This window comes from Homo sapiens, chromosome 6, assembly GCF_000001405.40.
Source record: "Homo sapiens chromosome 6, GRCh38.p14 Primary Assembly".
NCBI classification, from domain to species: Eukaryota; Metazoa; Chordata; class Mammalia; order Primates; family Hominidae; genus Homo; species Homo sapiens.
In genome coordinates, this window is record NC_000006.12 from 77,935,313 (window position 1) to 77,957,481 (window position 22,169).

General features: G+C 37.1%; 1 long non-coding RNA gene across 1 annotated transcript in view, besides 1 other annotated feature; it reads right to left on the reverse strand.

Moving 5' to 3' along the window:
* LOC105377865 (uncharacterized) overlaps positions 1-22,169 on the reverse strand; it is a 374,941-nt gene that overhangs the window by 9,432 nt on the left and 343,340 nt on the right. The window contains exon 4 of the long non-coding RNA XR_002956359.2: positions 8,486-8,609. This is a non-coding gene — a long non-coding RNA (uncharacterized LOC105377865). The remainder of the gene's footprint in view (positions 1-8,485; positions 8,610-22,169) is intronic.
* Positions 18,143-18,312: an enhancer, noted in NCBI's record as "experimental_95584 CRE fragment used in MPRA reporter constructs". NCBI's record gives its function as "activates a minimal promoter by MPRAs in K562 erythroleukemia cells, with activity observed for the introgressed 6:78663257 variant allele {active_cell/tissue: K562}" and the evidence as "EXISTENCE:reporter gene assay evidence [ECO:0000049][PMID:34662402]".

Sequence of the window (22,169 nt, forward strand, 5' to 3'; positions counted from 1 at the left end):
GTTATGTGTATTGCTCAGACACAGTGGAAAGAAGGATTTAGGTTTTATATATTTATGTATAGTTTTGATTGACTATTGGATAAATGAATGAATGAATGATGCTGTGCTTTCAATTATCATTTCCTATGAGGTGCATTTCGTAGTAAGAAAGAAGAACCAGACAGCTGATGCAGTCCAATACTGATTGCTCCACTATTCTACAAATCTGGAACCCTATTAGGCCCCCATCTTTTTTTCCAACTCAAGAGAAAGGGAAGTTACGAAAATGGGGAAGAGCCTCAGGATATGAACATAAGAATAAGAAATGAGAGCTTAGTTTACTTTTGCTTCACTTTCAACAGTTACTGTTTACTGTGTCTGCTTCAAACCTTTAATCACTCAAAAAACAGATAAGCCTTTATCTGCTCATGGATACTTTTGCTGAACAATACAGAGAGTAATTCATAGCAAATTTTGTGTATTCAGAGGGATTATATGCAAATTTATCTATATTTTCTCCTCAAAATGGGGCAAAGGAAACATAGCAGTAAATGGGATCAATTATGGCAGAATGATGGCAGAATTTATTAATAGTCTGAGGACTATCATCAAGTCAACCTGCTATTCAGAGGAAATATGAAAAATTCATTAGAATGTTACAAAACATATTGTAGACGCAGTGTTTACAAGCAGGATACACTGAATAGACAATTACATAATAAAGAGTTAGTCTTGATCCCTGCTTCCAGGGGATGCAACATGATTTGACTTTCACCAATTTCAGTTTTGGAAATAAAATTACTGGCATCGTAGTAATTGTGAATGTGTTAAAGTGGGTAGAGATAATACAAAAGCAGTATGCCACATTGCAGGAAATACTGAAAATCTAACAAATTAATAAAAGTTAATAAGGCATGAAGTGATAGATCTATGAATATAGACGTCATCTTCCCTGAAAGTTGTTCTTTATAATGGAGAAAACATTTTCAATATTTCCATATAAAATCGACCTTTATTCATCTCCTTGTGGTATCATATACCTGCCAAGTATAGGGTTATAACTGTGTCAGTATGACATTTTATTTACAATTAATCTCAATGAGTATAAGGAAATGAAAGACATTATGACAAAATGAGCTTCTCAAGGTACAAGCACACCCATTTATAAGTAATTTTTCTACATTATTTACTGTTGAACTCTTTCAAGTCAAAAATAGATCATGTTACTTTTGAAATGTCATTGAAGAAAAAAGACTTCCTATTCGTTTTCCTTTCTTAATTTAGTTTTAAATAATGACTACTAAAGCTGGATAAATATCCATAGCAAATGTAGATGTCCCCTATAGTATAGTAATTGCCTTCCTAAGTAGATACCCAGAAGAATCTCCTCCATAAGTACAAGAGGGAACATTTATTAATTAAAGAATATTCCATCACTGTTTGTAATACCAAACTCTTTAATGCTCATGAATTAGAGGGCTGAGTAAACTGTATTACTTTTATCAGATGAAATACTATCCAGTAGTTAAATTACAGTGATATATAGCAATATGGTTCAAAAGTGAAAAAAAAAGATTACATACAATATGCAACCCATTTTATAGAATTAAAAATAATAAAAATGAAAATATATGTCTGTGGATGCATATACATGTGATAAGCTCTATAAAAGAGACATGTAGGAAGGCATGGGATGTTTCAGGATAATGTTAACAAGTTAGCAGAAGGCAGGGGAACAGGTTAGCCAAGATCAACCATATATTAGGTGTAAGTTATTGTGTAAGATTTCCTAAGTTTTGTTTTGGATTTGTACATGATTGTTTCACTATAAAAAGAAAACTAATACACGTAATAAAGAATGGAAGGAAGGAGAGAAAGAAGGGAGAAAGGGAGGAGAGAATACTATGAATGGACCAACAATGAAAGTGTATCATGACCCAAGAATCATGATTAATCCAATTCTGCATCTGCAGAACAAAAACAAAACATAAAAAGCAACATACAAGGCTATTTTTTGTGAAAAGATACTGGACTCAATTCTTTACCATTTGCAATTGTGCATTAGGCTAAGCCTGATTTGCATTAAGTATAATTGTCTTATTCAATAATTTATATTAAGAAATAGGCAACTCAGATACTTTGGCCACAGTTCAGGGTCACTAGCTGGCCTTTGAAGTGGTCATAGCCATTATTACCCTATGTAATCTGAAATAAGTGAGCAAATAATTTGTTTAAGCATACATAGGCAAAATTACCTTCCATCAGAACCTCACGTGGGAGCTAATTGGGGATAAATAAATATATCCTTCAGTTAATACAGAATAGCTTTGAAGCACTTTTATAAAGCAAACATTAATTCTATTATAACTTCTATTTTAAATTAGGTATTGCTTTCTCCTTGGGAAGAAATATTAACCAACATGCAATCAGATATTTGGAAACCCTACAAATCTTCTAACATTTTACATTTAAAGTGTATCAACTTTCTGATAACACACTCATAAGTATTCCCTAAACAGTAACAATGAAAGTGATCTATTCTTGCTGCTCAAAAAAGTGGGAAAATATAGGATATATAAGAAACAAGATAGAAATACTCAAACTTAAATTCTCAGCCTCCAGTTTAGCAAATTTAACTTGCTATCTATAGAAGATTATTTTACTTTTCCTGTGTTATGTCAGTCACCTTAGAGACTACTTTCCAGACACCATAACTGATACCCCTTGTCATACTGTTTGTAGATCATAAGAAACATCATATAAAAGTAACTGATAAGCTCAGCACTATCCTACCATTGGAAAGTAAAATCCCAGAATGTTCTCAGAAATGTCTTTGTTTGTTTGTTTCTTTTTTTGTCTTGTTTTCAACCATCTAAATGTATATACTGGTTTACTGATTTGTCTATTCAATTGATGTCTATATCTGCCTAAGGCCCTACCAGCACAGTAAAATGTTATTGTTAATTATATCAAGGTGCTAGTTATTGCTTGATATTATTAGATACCTGAATGTATCTGCAATGTCTTGAGTAATTCTGCCTAGACTCTCCAGGTGATCCAGGTATTACTGACAAGATGGTAATACAAGATACCTAAATGAATTGAATTGAGTTTACAACCCAAGGTTAATATTTCGTGAGAAACATGTATGAGCTGTTTCCCTACGTTCTTTAGAATACATAGAGAGTAGATTATCAAAACCAAGACATTTTCAGAGGGCATTGCTTTTGTCCTGAGTACTTCTGCACCTCACATACACCCAGTCCCCAAGTCTTCCATTTACTCAATTAAGGGGCACCATCTGTATGAAACAGTCCCACATTAAGGTCAATCACCCCCTTCCCCTTGACCACATTATTCTCTCTGGTTTTTATCATAGTGTCTGTATGTCTACATTCCACTGACAAAGACAGTGGCAAGTATTTTTATCTTATGTTTCCAGTTCCCCAACTCAGGATAAGGGTAGTGATTGCAGTGATTGGTCATTTGTACCCTAAACACATTTGATGAGCTTTCCTTGAGAAAATCACATAGGAAGACCTAATTTAGCCATAACACTGAAACTCTTGTGTTCTTCTAATTACTGCACTCTCATTTCTATAAGATCTCTCTCAAACCATTTATTTCCTCAGACCTATAACCTCTCATTTCCTCTCTTGGCAGATAACCTTGTCCTGTACTTTACATAGAAATTAGGACAAACAGGAATTCTCTTAACTTCCTGCTAGCAAACATAAACCTTACCATCTGCCATCATTTTCTCTTCTTTACCAAGTTTACAATACTCGTTGAAGTATCTGTGTTTTGGATCATGTATTCTCTTATGTTCACAAGAAACATGGCTGATATGCCTCTGTTCTTTATCTTTAAATTTCCCTAACTTTCCATACCCCAAACAAACCTTCCTGAATCCCTTATCTTTCTCCAACTAACATTCTTTTTCTCATCACAATTAAATAGTTATCTACAATGTCTACTATTATTTCCCTGCCATCCCAATTCTTCCTAATTCATGGCAACAATTATTAGCTTTCTGATAGGGTTCTTGTGATGATGAAATTAGATAATCAGGTAAATATCACAAATATTATTATTACTCACTTATTGCTCATTTGGGAGCATTCAACAGTTTGATCACTCTCCTCTTGAAACACTCTGAATTTTGGATACCATGATCCATGCACCCTGTATTGTTTCCCTGCCTCTCTGACATCTCTTTATCCTTATCTCTTGTTAACTTCACCTACTTCACACGATTCACTGTAAAGTTTCTCAGGAGTGTGTTCTCAGGCCTTCTTTAGCTTTATATGCTCTATTCCAATGTGAAATGATTTATTCTTGTGGTTTCGGTGACCATAATTTTACTGTATGGGTCACAGTACCCAGGTGCAAACAACTGTATGCAGACCAACTTACACAGAAAATGAATTTATTCAGACTATTAGAAAGCTTACAAAATCTCAAGGAGACTCAGAGCCAGGCTAAAGGCTAATTACAGAAACAGTGCTTATGCTGGGAAAATGTGCTAGTGAAAATATTACTGCCGCCTCTGAAGAACGGGAGGCTTCTACCACTATTCTTTCCCCCCATATAGAACAGGTTTCTTGCTTGTCTTGTTTATGCATTCATGTCTCTTAAAGTCATATCTGATTGTTGGAACTTAGGTCATATATCTGTTCTTATTAAAACTGTAAGCAACCTACAAATGTGAGTTTTCTGAATTCTAGTCAGGAAAAACAGGACTCATAGTTTGAAAGATTATAGAAAATAGAATTCTCCAAAATATTAGGTGACAAGAAATGGCACAGGTCCACCTCTACAGCTAATGTTAGCTGCCTGACATTAATGTATATACTTCTGCTAAATTTAATCCTCCAAATAGCAAAATGCTCACACCTATCCTAATGTGACTATCCATAAACAAGTATATCTTCATGATCTCAAAAAGGGGGAGTTTTATCAATCACAGTATCTGTGGTAGGACCAGTGAATTTCATGACAGTTGAAATTGAATTCTGTTCATACTGGACCCTCTTCCCTATTGCAATAAGTTATCACTAATTAAAATTTGTCCTTAACACTTTAGTGTCTGGTTTTGTTATCCTTGACAGAAATATCTGCTCATGCTACTTGTACTTCAGGACCTGCTTGAGGTCAAACCTGTATTTATAACATTTCTAATGGATGGATCATTTCTGGACCCAACCAATTGTATAGCTTGGAGTATTAGGTAACACCAAGTCCATGAGCATAAGCTCAGGTCATTTGGTGCTCTATCATCAGTTGTTTAGTGACTCCTAGCAGATCGTTTCTGCCAAAAAAAAAAAAAAAAAAAAAAAAACACAAACTTTTAATCAAAACAATAGTTACTTGCCATGAACTTTGCCTTAAAACATTAGGTACCTACAGCATGACTCTCCTATTAAGGCTCGACACGGGCTTTATACAGTATTGTCTTCTGCGACAGATACTTTGGAAATGATTGGATTTACTGTTATAAAGCACATTGCAGAATTGCTTTCATGGAGTGTTGTCCAGCCTAAAGATTTTCTCTTGCTAAGCAGACATTTAAAAATGTCATGCTTTTGGCCAGGCGCGGTGGCTCACGCCTGTAATCCCAGCATCTTGGGAGGCCGAGGTAGGTGGATCACGAGGTGAGGAGACCAAGACCAGCTTGGCTAACATGGTGAAACCCCGTCTCTACTAAAAATATGAAAAATTAGCCAGGCGTGGTGGCATGCGCCTGTAGTCCCAGCTACTTGGGAAGCTGAGGCAGGAGAATCGCTGGAACCTGAGAGGCAGAGGTTGCAGTGAGCCAAGATTGTGCCACTGCACTCCAGCCTAGGTGACAGAGCAAGACTCCATTTAAAAAAAAAAAAAAGTCGTGCTTTTGCATCACTAGCCAAATCAATCAGAGTATCCAACTGAACTGTAGTGATAATTTTCTCCAATATCCAAAGAAATCCACTGTACCTCTTTCTTTGTGACTTATGGAGCAAAGTACAGCAACTTGGCCTTTCACTTTCAATAGTATATTCTATATTGTTCTATATTACAGGATATTCTGAAACTTCAAAATGGCAGGGCCCTGTGTGAAGCAATTTCATTATTTTCTGGTCACCAACGTGTCTGAGTCTGGTGAAACAGAACATATTCATACTCAACAAGTTACATGAAGTGAATATTACTTACAGATAGGCAAAAAGAGACAACAGAAGCCTAGGATTCATTGAGAGCCAATCCCCAAGTCTCAGAAAGTTGCCCAGGGCAGATGGAGTCTTGACTGCACTTGAATATAGCTATATCTATTAACATCTACATTCTAATCTTCTGGGTCTTTTCAGGGAACCATTTAGGGAATAGAGTCACTCCAACTTTGCAATAATTCATTAATTTATCTTCTTTAATTCAAAAGATTTTATGGCACCTTTCATTCATTCAGCACAGGTCACCTTTGTGCATAAGTTTCAGTCAACTAACTGAGCAACCAATTAAAATATCTGACTGATTCTGGCTATTAAATTATAGGCAATAAGAGGTAACGAGAAGGGACAAACAAGAAATTTGCTTTCCTTGCAAAGTACTTATCTTAGGGATATCGAGGCAAGGCATTACTAGCCTAAACGGACTGGAAAATAGGTGCTGTTTTGCTGGCAAGACACTCCATGAGTGTTTGGGGTTCTATCAGATTTTCCCCCTTTTGATTCTGGTGTCTCATTCTTTTTCATTCAATATGCTGTTATTTAAAAATCTGATAAAGATATGAATTCAACTTAAGTTGAAATTCAGCAACCCAGAGCATCAGATAGGATGCTTGGTTATGTTAATACTGTTGTTGCAACAAAATATACTTTTGGCACAGACATAGTAAGATCCCGATTCTCTTACTACACCTTGAGCCAAGACTTTAAATTTTAACCTTACCATTTTTTGTCATTAAGCTCTCCAGTGCAGCTGGAAGCAACCAGCCTTCCTCCTCTTTGTAATCCTTAGTACTTCCTCTCATTCTGTATCAATAGCTACAAGGTTTGTTTATTTTTTTTAACTCTTGACTTCAATAGCCATTCCATTTTACAGGATAATTTAAGTAACTGTTTAACATGCAATGTTATTAACCACCAGAGTTCCCAGTTCTGTACTAACTAGATCTTCAATGCCTTCATTCGCAACCTGTTTAAATAAACTATTCAGTGTTCTATTTATTTGAGAGCCTATTGCCTCTCTTGAGGCCAAATATTACATTGGTCGGCGTTCTTAGTTGCAAACATGGGAAAACATTCTGGCTTATTTAAGGAGAAAATGGAATTTTAAAGCGGTGTTATATAACTTATACACATTTAAGGAAGAACTGGAGGGCAAGATTTTGAAGCTACCCTCCCAAAATCAATGACAATACAATACACCACATGGGCTACTCTGGAAAAGATACTATGACCATGCCACTTGGAACAGATTCCTCTTAGGATTGGTTGCCTGATCTTCTGCTCCCTACCTCCCCCACCCACAAACCTACACAGAAAAAAAAAATACCTCTGTCATTACATGTATTGGACATGTGTATTCGCCTTTAAGTGGTCACCTCTTCATAGCACTAACTTTTTAATGTGAATTTCAAGTGGATTCACCTGACTACAGAAATCTAAGTCACATGCCTTCTCCTAAAACTTTAAGGGGAGTCTGGCATATTACTATCCTGGCCTTTACCTTGGGAAGACTGACTAAATGATGAATGTCCGCTGCATAGGACATATCTTAAAGACACCTAAATTAATACCATCAATCCTGTGATAGATATTACTAGCACTCACCAAAATTTCTGCATCTTTTCTTCTACCTAAATAATAATGAGAAACTACTAATTCCCTGTAGAAATCAGTAGAGGCCATATAATTTACCTTGGCTGATGGAATGTAAATGGAAGTGACAAGTGTCACTTTAGGACAGAAACATTTTTGAGCTTATAAGCCTTTGCACACATTCTCTTGGCCTGCTGTGGTAAACAGTGAAGCCTCAAATAGAGACAAAAACATCACAACATGGGAAGGCATCAGTCAGTCCAGGTGCCTGAATAATAACTTGAGTGAAAAAGCTCCCTTCCTTACCTGCAATGGACATACAGCAAAAGCAAGACATAAACCTTTTTGTTCTAACTTGTTGAAATGTTTTTGTGACATATCTAGCTCATGCTGACTGACAAAACCCAGAGCTGTCTTCTCACTATACATTTTATACTGTATATACCTAATAGTTTGCAAGGCAGGATGCTGGGCTGTCACACAAGCACTCCAAACTCAACATGTCCAAAAATGAACTCATGAACTTTTCCTAAACTATTCTTCCTGCAGTGTTTTCTGCTTCAGTGCGTTAGCCAACAGCCATGTGTCTATTTAATCTAAAAACTTAAGTATCTTTCCTGATTCTCTTCCAGTTTCCACCACCTCTCCTTTCTACTGCTCAGGCATGTTTTTTACATCTCTGCTTAATATTATTGCCCTAGGAAACATACCTTCATTCCTTGATCTTCCAAACCTGTTATATTCTCCTAAAGAAGTTCATACTTAATGGTCACTCTTGTCCTCTTCTTGTTATAACTTCTGTGGGGTCCATCATCCCAGGACAATCTTTAAATTCTATGATGAAAAAACAGTGACTTCTTTACCATAGTTTTGTCAATTCCAGCATATATAGGTCATCAGTACTTTTTTTAATGAAGGTTTGAAATTAAGAAAATAAATGGGCCGATCACAGTGGCTCACGCCTGTAATTCTAGCACTTTGGGAGGCTGAGGGAGGCGGATCACAATGTCAAGAGATTAAGACCATCCTGTCCAACATGGTGGAACCCCATCTCTACTAAAAATACAAAAATTAGCCGGGTGTGGTGGTGCATGCCTGTAATCCCAGCTACTTGGGAGGCTGAGGCAGGAGAATTGCTTGAACTCAGGAAGCGGAGGTTGCAGTGAGCTGAGATTGCACCACTGCACTCCAGCCTGGCAACAGAGCAAGATTTCTTCTCAAAAAAGAAAAAAAGGAGAAAAAAAAAAAGAAAGAAAAAAATAGAAAATGAATGAATGACTAAAATGGCTCCTAGAAGATACTTTCACATACTTATCTTACTTCTAGTTTTTTGCTCTGCTCAACTTAAGTCCTTGTTCAGACCTTTTCCTTTTAAAAGGGTAGATTTTGGAAGTATCCTGTTCACTGCATACACCATGTTATCTGCCCATCTGTTCTACATTTTGTTTCATTTGTTCTACTTATATACGCCTACTGTTTGCATGAAATTATTTTAATGTCAATCTTCTTTACTATTTGGAAAACAAGAGTTTATTTCTCATACCCCATGCTGGCACAGAATAATGACACATTTTTTTGGATTAAAGTATTTTCAGGAAATATCCTCCACAATCTGAGAAGGTGGAGAAGAAAAGAAAAAAAATTTGATATTTTGATATTTTTCCTCTAAATTGAAAGAAATTCTGTTTTGGAATAAAAATATGGCTTGATTCATTCTAACTCTTACATCTAGAAAGCATTTCAGTGCATTTTAATACTTGAGTATTTAATTTAATACTAGATTTTAAATAACATCTTTGAAAATTGTTTTTAGTGTTTAATATGACTGATAATATACGGTTAACAAAAATTCTGTTGTTTAAATCTTTTCCAGTTATGTAATCTTGTAATAAAACAACCCTAGTAATGAACTAGAAAGTAGAATAGAATTTTTTCATATGTTTTTCTTTTTTGGTTCAAATGTATCTAAAGCATAATACATTGGTGGGATATAAGAGAGAATGTTTAAAATCCCATCCAAAGAGTAATTTTTGACTTTTCCAGGATATTTGGTCTCTAATCAATAAATCATGCACTGAGGGGTTTTTTAATGAGACCATGTGTGGGATAGATAGCAGCAACTTGGCAGGTCCCACAGATAATTCTTAATAGTGAATCCACATTCTTCATAGATCTCTCCTAACTTCATCAAGGTGTTTCTCTGAAGGGTGCATGGGAGCTGTCATAATATATTTTCCCACACTATGTTGAAGAACTGGGGAAACTGGTAAAAAATGAAAATTTGGGGGATATTAACAGATTTTCCCTTGAAGCCGCCTGCATATTATTCAGAGAAAAAAAAACATATTTGGTAAACAGCAAGAAAGGTAACTTAAAAAGCAGTTGCAGTGTGGTGTTATGGTATATTTTTAAAAAGCAACTTTGGTATAATAAAATAAGATCTGCAATGAACATTTTTTTTTTACATGAAGAGAAAAGACATAACTTTTAGGGGCAAATATATAAGTCAGAAGTTATTTGGATCTTTTTTGAGGACATCACAATATGTTTACCATCATGCCTAGGTTAAAGATCCTTTTAACAATTTTCTCCAAGCAGAGAGATTTGCAATCTGGTAGGCTCCAGGGTATTCTACCTATAATCTGAAAGCTCTTTTAAATTCTCTCTTCTAGTGAAAGAAATGTAAAATCTCCTCAGTACATCTGCTTTGCTTATTGCAGTTCATACCCCAGGAAAATCCATTTTATATTTCTTTTGGGAGTTATTAGGTATATATTACTATGTCCAAGGAGACATAAGCTCCTCTAGACATGGATATAAGCTTCAATATCTGTATTAACCATTTGTCTCTGATGTTTTGACATCTGGGGCCTTGTTCACTCTGAAGAGACTACCCCTCCTAGAGCTTACCAATTCCTAGAGGTAGTGAGTGACTGGGCTGCAAGCATAACTTTCACATGCAAACCAATCAATCCAGAGGCCATACCCCAAACATCCCTTTTCTAGAGCTTTCGCAGGGCTTACACTATGGACCTGTATCCACCTACACTGACCAGATACCAGATAACTAGAGACAAATCCTGTATCTCAGAGCCCCCTGAAATTACTCAAACTAGCCAGTCATTATATTGATTACCCTGCCTTGCCCATTTCTTCTGGGAGAAACCACAATAAAGGCTATTGCCCATGTTTTCCCCTGCTGCGTTTGCCTCTGCACTGACCCTGGTGCTTCCACATGTGCCACTCCCCTCCTCATTGTGTGTCATGCCCTCTCATTTCTGGGGGTCTGTGAGCTTAAATAAGCCACCTTTTGATTGGCAATTGTCTCCTGAAGTGTTGGCCTCACCATACCTTAATAACATTAATACCTACTTTTTAAAACAATATCCAAAGTTAGATGATATTCAAGGAATACTACGAGTTATTCTTTTGGTCAGAGTAGTCATTTCCTTTCTAGGTGATTTAAAAGATGCCAACAAGTTTTATTTTGCTTTGTGTTTTCCAACTTTTATTTTAGGTATGGGGGATACATATGTATGTTTGTTACATGGATAAATTGTGTGTTGCTGGGGTTTGATATACAAACAATTTTCTTACCCAGGTAGTGAGCTTAGTACTCAATAGGTAGTTTTTCAAAATTCACCCTACTCCTAGCCTTATCCTTCAAGTAGGTTCCAGTGTCTGTTGTTCTCATCTTTGCATCCATGGGAACTCAAAGTTGAGCTTCCACTTATAAATGAGAACATGTGGTATTAAGTTTTCTGTTCCTGCATTAATTTGCTTAGGATAATGGCCTCCAGCTCCATTCATGTTGCTGCAGATCACATGATTTTATTTTTTATGGCTGTGTAGTATTCCATGGTGTATATGTACCACATGTTCTTTATCCAGTTTACCACTGATGGGCATCCAGGTTGACTCCATGTCTTTGCTATTGTGAATAGTGCTGTGATTAACATATGGGTGCATGTGTCTTTTTTATATAATGAATGAATATAATGATATATTTCCTTTGGGTATATACCCAATAATGGGATTGCTCATTCTAATGGTAGTTTTGTTTTAAGTTCTTTAAGAAACCTCCAAACTCCTTTCCACAGTGGCTGAACTAATTTACATTTCCACTAGGAGTGTATAAGTGTTTCTTTTTCTCTTCAAACTCATCAATAGCTGTTATTTTTTGACTTTTTAATAATAGCCTTTCTGACTGGTATGAGATGGTATCTCATTGTGACTTTTATTTGCATTTCTCTATTAGTGACATTGAGCATTTTTTCATATGCTTGTTGGCCATGTGTATGTCTTCTTTCTTGCTGTTGGTGTTTTAGTTGTTGTTGTTTTGTTTTGTTTTGTTTTTGGTGGAAGTGCCAGGGATATGTCTTCCTTTAAGAAGTGTCTGTTCATGTCTTTTGCCCATTTTTTTATTGGATTGTTTGTTTTTGCATGTTGATTTAACTTCCTTGTAGATTTTGGATAGTAGTCTATCGTTGGATGCATAGTTTATGAATATTTTTTCCCATTCTGTAAATTATCTGTTTACTCTGTAGATAGATTCTTTAGTTTAGTTAGGTCCCATTTATCTATTTTTGTGTTTGTTGCAATTGCATTTGGAGACTTGATCATGAAATATTTGCCAAAGCATATGTAGAGAAAGTTATTCCCTAGGTTTTCTTCTAGAGATTTTATAGTTTTAGGTTTTACATTTAAGTCTTTGTCTATTTTGAGTTAATTTTTTTTATATAATAAAAGGGTTCAGCTTCAATCTTTTACATATGGCTAGCCAGTTATCCAAGCATCATTTATTGAATAGGGAGTCCTTTTCCCATGATATCTTATTGTCAACTTTGTTGAAGATCAAATGATTGTAGGTGTGTGGCTTTATTTTTGGGTTCGCTAACCTTTTCCATTGATCTATGTGTCTGTTTTTGTACCAGTACAATGCTGTTTTGGTTACTGTTGCCTTGAAGTATAGTTTGAAGTCAGATAGGGTGATACCTCCAGCTTTGTTCTTTTAGATTAGGATTTCTTTGGTTTTGGGGGCTCTCATTTGATTCTTTGTGAATTTTAGAATATATTTGCCTAATTCTGTGAAAAATGGCATTGGTAATTTGATAGGAATTGCATTAAGTCTGTTAATTGCTTTGAGTGGTATGATCATTTTAACAATGTTGATTTCTCCTATCCATGAGCATGAAATGTTTTTTTTCTATTTGTTTCTGTCATCTCTGATTTCTTTCAGCAGTGTTTTGTAATTCTCATTGTAGAGATCTTTTACCTCTCCGGTTAGCTGAATTTTTATGTATTTTATTACTTTTGTGGCTCTTGTGAATAGGATTGCATTCTTGGATACCATTTGTTTATAGAAATGCTACTAATTTTTTTACATTGATTTTGTATCCTGAAGCTTTACTGAAGTTGTTCATCACTTCTAGCACCCTGTGAACAGAAAGTACGGGGTTTACTAGGTATAAAATCAAAACAGAAAATCCAAGTAAACCCAATCAGAAATGACAAAAGGGACATTACCATTGACTTCACAGAAATACAAAAAAACTCTGAGACTACTATGAACACCTCTATACACACAAACTAAAAACCTAGAAAATTGGATAAATTCCTGGAAACATCCAAACCTCCCAAGAGTGAACCACGAAGAAATCAAAATCCTTAATAGACCAATAATTAATTTCAAAATTGAATCAGCAACAAAAAGCCTACCAATATCAATCAGAAAAAAGCCCTGTACCAGATGAATTCATGGCCAAATTACACCAGACATACAAAGAAGAGCTGGTACCAATCCCACCGAAATTATGCCAAAAAATCTAGGAAGAGGGGACACTTCCCTAATTCACTCTATGAAGCCAGCATCATTCTGGTACCTAAACTTGGCAGAGACACAATGAAAAATAAAACTTCAGACCAATAAACCAATACTCCTGATGAACACAATGCAAAAATCTCCAACAAAATACTAGCAAACCAAATCTAGCAGCACATCAAAAAGCTAATCCACCATGATGAAGTAGGCTTTATTTCTGGGATACAAGGTTTGTTCAACAGATGCAAATCAATAAATGTGATTCATCACATAAATATAACTAAAAACAAAAACCACATGGTCATCTGAATAGATGCATAAAAGGATTTTGATAAAATATAACATTGTTTTTTGTTAAACACTCTCAACAGACTAGGTAACATAAGTTTGAAGGAATATACCTCAAAATAATAGCCATCTATGACAAACCCAGAACCAACATCATACCGAATGGGCAAAAGTTTGAACCTATTTCTCTTCAGAACCAGAACAAGGCAAGGATATCCTCTCTCACCACTCCTATTCATCATAGTACTAGAAGTACTAGCCAGAGCAATCAAGCAAGAAAAAGAAATAAAAGGTATATAAACAGAAAGAGGAAGTCAAACTATATCTCTTCACAGATCAACAGGTTGTAAAAATCAAAAATACCTGTGCCCTACCCCCTCAAATTTATACCAGACATTTTCACTAGATTAAAGAAAGACATTATTTGATATCGCTAATATAGTGATCTTCCCCTTAGCCACATCTCATAAATCATCTAAACTCTTAGATACCTAGCTGAATGCAAGATGTAGAGAAAAATGGGTTGTAACATGAAAACTTGTGTAACAGTGAAGAATTTCTTAATTCACATAAGAATGAGGAATGTCTTAATTCATAATTTGATATTTTTCTGAAATTGTTCTTTTTAGTAACATAACCATCTATTTTTATTAGAAGAAATATTTTACAATTAGTACATTTTGGTTTGCTCATCTAATGTGCTTTGCCACCATTTAAAGAAAAAAATGGTAAAGTCAAAATGTGTTAACATATGAGGTAAAACTTGCCAAAATTAAGTTCTCAAGATAGATTGAGCACTCTGGTGATTTGAAAGAAGCAGAAAACATAGTGTCCAGAAAACTAAACTTGTGAGCTCTGGAACTCAGGAGCCAATACGAAATACTACTCTAATGTATACTCCTTTTTTAAATCTTTCTTGAAAATATCCTGGCTTGATCAGTTTTCCATGAGCACTTCATATTCTGTGTCCTACCTAACCCACTGCCATGGTCTGAATGTATGTGACTCTCCAAATTCATATGTTGAAACCTAATATCCAATATGATAGTATTAAGAGATGGGCCCTTTAGGAAATGATGAGGTCATGAGGACTCGTTTCTCATGAATGCAATTAATGCCCCTATAAAAGAGGCCCATGGGATTTTGTTCATTCCTTCAGCCATGTGAAGATGTATAGAAGGCACCATATATGAGAAAGGGCTCTCACCAGACACCAAATCCGTTGGCACCTTGATCTCTTCAATTTCCTATTTTCCAGAACTGTGTGCACAGTTCTTTCCTCATCACTGAAGGGATGGCAAAGAAGTGTAGGAGTTACCAACATGGAAAATGGGTATTCTGACCAGTTAGTTATCATGCCATTTTAAATACAGCCATTAAAAATTCAGATGAATAAACTTAAAAGGGTTAATTTTATGAAAATTCTGAAGAGATTCTCTAAATACCGCTCCCTAGTCATTTAAAATGTTTGGATTTTAAATTTAAATAGCCTTGCCCATTTGTGCTTTCCCACTTTGTAAAATCATTTAGTATTTGTTGAGTACACCCTCTGATATGGTTTGGCAGTGTTCCCACTCAAATCTCATCTTGAATTGTAGTTCCCATAATCCACACATGTTGTGGGAGGGACCCGGTGGGAGGTAATTACATCATGGGGACAGTTACCCCAATGCTATTCTCATGATAGTGAGTGAGTTCTCACATGATCTGATGGTTTTATAAGAGGCTTTTCCCCATTTGCTTGACACTCATTCTCTCTGCTGCCACCCTGTGAAGAGGTACCTTCCACCATAATTATAAGTTTCCTGAAGCTTCTCTAGACATGTGGAACTGTGAGTCAATTAAGCCTCTTTTCTTTATAAATTACACATTCTCAGATATTTCCTTATAGCAGCATGAGAACAGACTAATAATACAGTAAATTGGTACTGGGATGCAGTGCTGCTATAAGGATATGGAAAATGTGGAAGCAAGTTTGGAACTGGGTAACAGACAGATTAGAACAGCTTGAAGGGCTTAAAAGAAGACAGGAAGATGTGAGAAAGTGTGGAACTTCCTAGATACTGGAAGGTTCAGAAGACAGGAAGATGTGGGAAAGTTTGGAACTTCCTAGAGACTTGTTGAATGGCTTTGACCAAAATGCTGATAGTGATATGGACAATGAAGTTCAGACTGAGGTGGTCTCAGATGGACATGAGGAACTTGTTGGGAACTGGAGCAAAGGTGATCTTCCTTTGCTTTAACAAAGAGACTGGTGGCATTTTGCCACTGCCCTACAGATCTGTGGAACTTTGAATTTGAGAGAGATGATTGAGGGTATCTGGTGGAAGAAATTTCTAAGAGGCAAAGCATTCAAGAGGAAGCAGAGCATAAAAGTTTAGAAAATTTGCAGCCTGCTGAGGTGACAGAAACTAAAAACCCATTTTCTTGGGAGAAATTCAAGCCACAGACTGCAGAAGTTTGCATAAGTAACCAGGATCTGAATGTTAATCACCAAGACAATGGGGAAAATGCCTCCAGGGCATGTCAAGAGACCTGCATGGCACCCTGGAGGTCTAGAAGGGAAAAATGGCTTCATGGGCTGGGCCCAATGCCCCCTGCTCTGTACAGTCATGGGAGTTGGTGCCTTGCATGATAGCTGTGGCTAAAAGGGGCCAACGTACAACTCAGGCACCTTTACAGCTGTCATTCAGGGCACCAAGTCCCATGACTGTACAGAGGGTGCAAGCCCCAAGCCTTGGTGGCTTACACATGGTATTGGGCCTGCAGGTGCACAGAAGTCAAGAATTTAGGTTTGGGAACCTCCACCTAGATTTCAGAGGGTGTATGGAAACTCTGGATGTGCAGACAGAACTTTGCTGCAGGGGCAGAGCCCTCATGGAGAACCTCTGCTAGGGTAGTGCAGCAGTGAAATGTGGGGTTGGAGCCCCCACAAAGATTTTCCACTAGGGCACTGCCCCCTCTTGTGGAGCTGTGAGAAGAGGGCTACCGTGCTCTAGACCCCAGAATGGCGGATCCTATGACAGTTTGCACTGTGTGCCTGGAAAAGCCACAGATACTTAATGCCAGCTGTGGAGGCAGCCATGAAGGGGGATATACCCTGCAAAGCCACAGGGATGCAGCTGCTCAAGGCCATGGTAGCCCACCTCTTGTATCAGTGTGGGAACAGACTAATACATCCTCTGTGCCAGGCCCACTTCTAGAGACTGGAAATGCAAATCTAAACAAATGATGTATCACACTATTGATTTGCATATGTTGAACCATGCCTGCATCCCTGCGATACATACCACTTGGTCACAATAAATGACCTTTTTAAAGTATTATTAAATTCTATTTGCTAGTATTTTGTTTCAACTGATGTTGAAAAAGCATTTTCCATAGTACTGGAAATCCCAGTAACAGCAATCAGATGGAAGAAATAAAGGGTATCCAAATTGAAAAGAAATATGTCAAATTAGACTTGTGATGTTTTGGCTCTGTGTCCCCACCCAAACAGCATGTTGAATTGTAATTTCCATGTTGGGGCAGGAACATGGTGGGAGGTGATTGGATCATGGGGGCAGATTTCTCCATTGCTGTTTCATGATAGTGAGGGAGTTCTCATGAGATCTTGTTGTTTAAAAGTGTGTAGCCTTTACCCTTCTTTCTCTTTCCTGCTCCACCACGGTAAGACCTGCTTGCTTCCCCTTCACTTCCATCCATGACTGTAAGTTTCCTGAGACCTCCTAACCATGATTCCTGTACAGCCTGTGGAACTGTGATTCAATTTAACCTCTTTTCTTTATAAATTACCCAGTCTCAGGTGGTTCGTTAGAGTAGTAAGAGAATGGACTAATACAGAAAATTGGTACCTAAGAAGTGGGGCATTGCTATAAAGATACCTAAAAATGTGGAATTGACATTGGAACTGGGTAATGGGCAGATGTTGGAACAGTTTGGAGGGCTAAGAAAAAGATAGCAAGATGAGGGAAAGTTTGTAACTTCCTAGGAACTTGTTAAATTGTTGTGATTAAAATGCTGATAGTGATGTGGACAATGAAGTCCAAGCTGAGGTGGTCTCAAATGGAGATAAGGAACTTATTCGCAACTGGAGTAAAGGTCACTCTTGCTATGCTTTAGCAAAGAGACCGGTGGCATTGTGACCCTGCTCTAGAGACCTGTGAAACTTTGAACTTGAGAGAGATGATTTAGAGTGTCTGGCAGAAGAAACATCTAAGCAGCATTGTTCAAGATGTGGCCTGGCTGCTTATAAGTGCCTATAATCATTTGCATAAAGAAAGAAATTCCCTGAAGCTAGAATGTATATTTAAAAGGGAAGCAGCACATAAAAGTTAAAAATAATTGCGGCTTGACCATGAGGAGGGAGGAATTTTCTGGGGAGGAATTCAGGGATGCAGAAATTTACACAAGTAAAAAGCATCCAAATGTTAATAGCCAATTCAATGGGGAAAATGCCTCCAGAGCATTGCAGAGGCCTTCACAGCAGCTCCACCCATCACAGGCCTGCAGGTCCAGGAGGGAAAAATGGTTTTGTGGGCCAGGCCCAGGGCCCCATTGCTCTGTGCAGCCTTAGGACATAGTTTCCTGTTTCCCAGCCACTCCAGTTCTAGCCATGGCTATAAGGGGCCAGGGTACAATTCAGGCTCTTGTTTCAGAGGGTGCAAGCCCCAACCCTTGGTGGCTTACATGAGGTGTTTGGTCTATGGGTGCAAAGAAGGCAAGAGTTCAGGTTTGGTAGCTTTTGCCCAGATTTCATTCAATGTATGAAAATGCCTGGATGTTCAGGAAGAAGCCTGCTGCAGGGTAGAGCCCTCACAGAGAACCTCTGCTTGGGCACAGCAGACAAGAAATGTGTGTTTGGAGCCCCCACACAGAGTCCCCAATGGGGCACTGCCTAATGAGAAGAGGGTCACTGCCCTCCAGACCACAGAATAATAGATCCACCAACAGCTTGCACCATGCACCTGGCCACAGGCCTCAATGCCAGCCCATGAAAGCAGCCACAGTGTCTGTGCCCTGCAGAGACACAGAGTTGGAGCTGCCCAAGGCCTTGGGAGCCCACTCCTTGCATCAGCATGGCCTGGATGTGAGACATGAAGCCAAAGGAGACTATTTGAGAACATTAAGATTTAACGACTTCCCTCCTGGTTTTCAGACTTACATGGGGCCTGTAGCCCCTTTGTTTTAACGAATTTCTCCCTCTTGGAATGGGTCTATTTACCAGTTGTATCTTGGAAGTAACTAACTTATTGTTTATTTTACTGGCTCACAGGTAGAAGGGACTTGCCTTGTTTCAGATGACATTTTGGGCTTGGACTTTTGAGTAAATGTTGGAATGAGTTAAGATATTGAGGGACTGTTGGGAAGGCATGACTGTGTTTTGAAATGTGAGAAGGACTTGATGTTTGGGAGAGTGCAGAGGCAGAATGATATGGTTTGGCTCTGTGTCACCATTCAAGTATCATGTTAAATTGTAATATCCAGTGCTAGGGGAGTGACCTGGTGGAAGGTGATTGAATCATAGGGACAGATTTCCCCCTTGCTGTTCCCATGGTGGGGAGTGAATTCTCAAGAGATCTGGTTGTTTAAAACTGTGTAGCACTTCCCCTTTCACTCTCTCTCCTGCTCTGCCATGATAAAATGTGCTTGCTTCCCCTTCACCTTCCACCATGATTGTAAGTTTCCTGAGGCCTCCCAGCCATGCTTCCTGGACAGCGTTTGGAACAGTGAGTCAATTAAACCTCTTTATTTGTAAATTACCGAGTCTCAGGTAGTTCTTTACAGCCATGTGAGAACAGACTAATACACCTTGTTTGCAGATGACATGATCTTATATGAGGAAAACCCTAAAAACTCCACAAAAAAACTATTAGAACTGATAAATAGATTCAGGACAGTTGCAGGGTACCAAATCACATACAAAAATTAGCAGCAGTTCTATATGCTAATAGTGAACAATCTGATAAATAAATTTAAAAAGGATTCCCATTTATAATTGCCATGAATAAAATTAAATACCTAGGAATTAACCAAAGAAGTTAAAGATCACTACAATAAAAATGATAAAACACTAATGAAAGAAATTGAAGAGGACACCAAAAGATGGAAAGACAGTCCATGTTGATGGATTAGAAGAAACAATATTGTTAAAATGTTCTTACTACCCAAAGAATTCTACCAATTTAATGCAATCCTTATTAAAATACCAATGACATTCTTCACAAAAATACCAAAAAAAAAAATCTAAAATGCATAAGGAACTAAGAAAGAGCCCAAAAAGCCACAACTATCCTAAGCAAAAAGAACAAAATGAGAAGAATGACATTACCTGACTTCAAAGTATCCTACAGAGCTATAGTAACCAAAACAGCATGGTACTGGCATAAAAACAGACACATAGACCAGTGGAACAGAATAGAAAACCAAGAAACAAATCCATACACCTACAGTGAACTCGTTTTGACAAAGTTGCCAGGAGCATATATTGTGGAAAAGACAGTCAGTTCAATAAATATTGCTGGAAAAACTGGATATCTATATGCATAAGAATGAAACTAGACCCCTGTCTCTTACCATAAACAAAGATCAAATCAAATAGATTAAAGACTTAAATCTAAGCCTTCAAACTATAAAAATACTACAAGAAAATATCAGGAAAACTCTCCATGACATTGATTTCAGCAAAGGTTTCTTGAGTAATATCCCACAAGCACAGGCAACCGAAACAAACATAGACAAATGGGATCCCATCAAGTTAAAAAGCTTCTGCACAGCAAAGGAAATAATCAACAAAGTGAAGAAACAACACACAGAATGGAATATATCTGCAAATAACCCATCTGACAAGAGATTATTAGCCAGAATATAAGTAGCTCAAACAATTCTATAAGAAAAAATCTAATCATTCAATTAAAAATGGGCAAAGTATAAGAATAGACATTTCTCAAAAGAAGACATACAAATGGCAAACATGAATATTAAAAGGTGCTCAACATCATTGATCATTGGAGAAATTCAGATCAATACTACAATTAGATATCGTCTCACCCCACTTAAAATGATATATCCAAAAGACAGGCAATACCAAATTCTAGCAAGGATGTAGAGAAAAGGGAACCCTTTTACACTTTTGATGGGAATGTAAATTAGTACAACTACTACGGAGAACAGTTTGGAGGTTCCTCAAAAAAACTAAAAATAGAGCTGGCATATGATTGAGCAACTCCAGCGCTGGGTATATACCCCAAAGAAAGGAAATCAGTATATCAAAGACATATCTGCACTTCTATATCTGTTGCAGCACTGTTCACAGTAGCCAAAATTTGGAAGCAACCTAAATGTTCATCAAACAGATGAATGGATAGAGAAAACGTGATGCTTATACATAATACAGTACAATTCAGCCATAAAAAAAGAATGAGATTCTGTCATCTGCAACAACATGAATGAAACTGGAGGTCATTATGTTAATGGAAATAAGCCAGGCACAGAAAGACAAACATCACATATTCTCACTTATTTGTGAGATCTAAAAATCAAAACAGTTGAACTCATGGACATAGAGAGCAGAGGATGCTTATCAGAGGCTAGGGAGGGTAGTGGGATAGTTGCTATGGGGTGGGGATAGTTAATGGGTACAAAAAAAATAGTAAGAAAGAATGAGTAAGACCTAGTGTTTAACAGCACAACAGGGTGACTATTGTCAATAATCATTTAATTGTACACTTAAAAAGAATTAAAATAATTGGATTGTTTTTAACATGAAGGTTAAATACTTGAGGGGATGCATACTTCATTTGACATGATGTGATTATTACACATTGCATGCCTGTATTAAACCTCTCATGTACCCCATAAATATATACACCAAGTGTCCATAAATTTAAAATATATGTTTAAAAACTTTGTTACTACTCTAAAAAAGTAAACAAAACAAAAGTAAAAAATTTCTTGCTTCATGAAATTCACAACCTGAGGAGTGTTTGTGTATAATAAATAAATAAAAAATATGTTGTCAATTAGTGCAAAATGGTATACCAAATAAAGCAGTGCAATGTAATAGAATCCTTCACTAATTCCTCATTACTTTAGAAAGGAGTGGGGCAGTCAGGGAAGGACTTTAAGGTGATGACATTTGAGAAGAGACTTGAAGGGAGTGGATCGTAAGAAAATATGGTGGAAAATCATTTCAGGCAGAATGAAGGCAGTTGCATAGTTCTTGAAGCAAGAACATGTTTGGAAACTGTAAGAAGAGCAAGAAGGTCAAAGTGTCATGAACACAG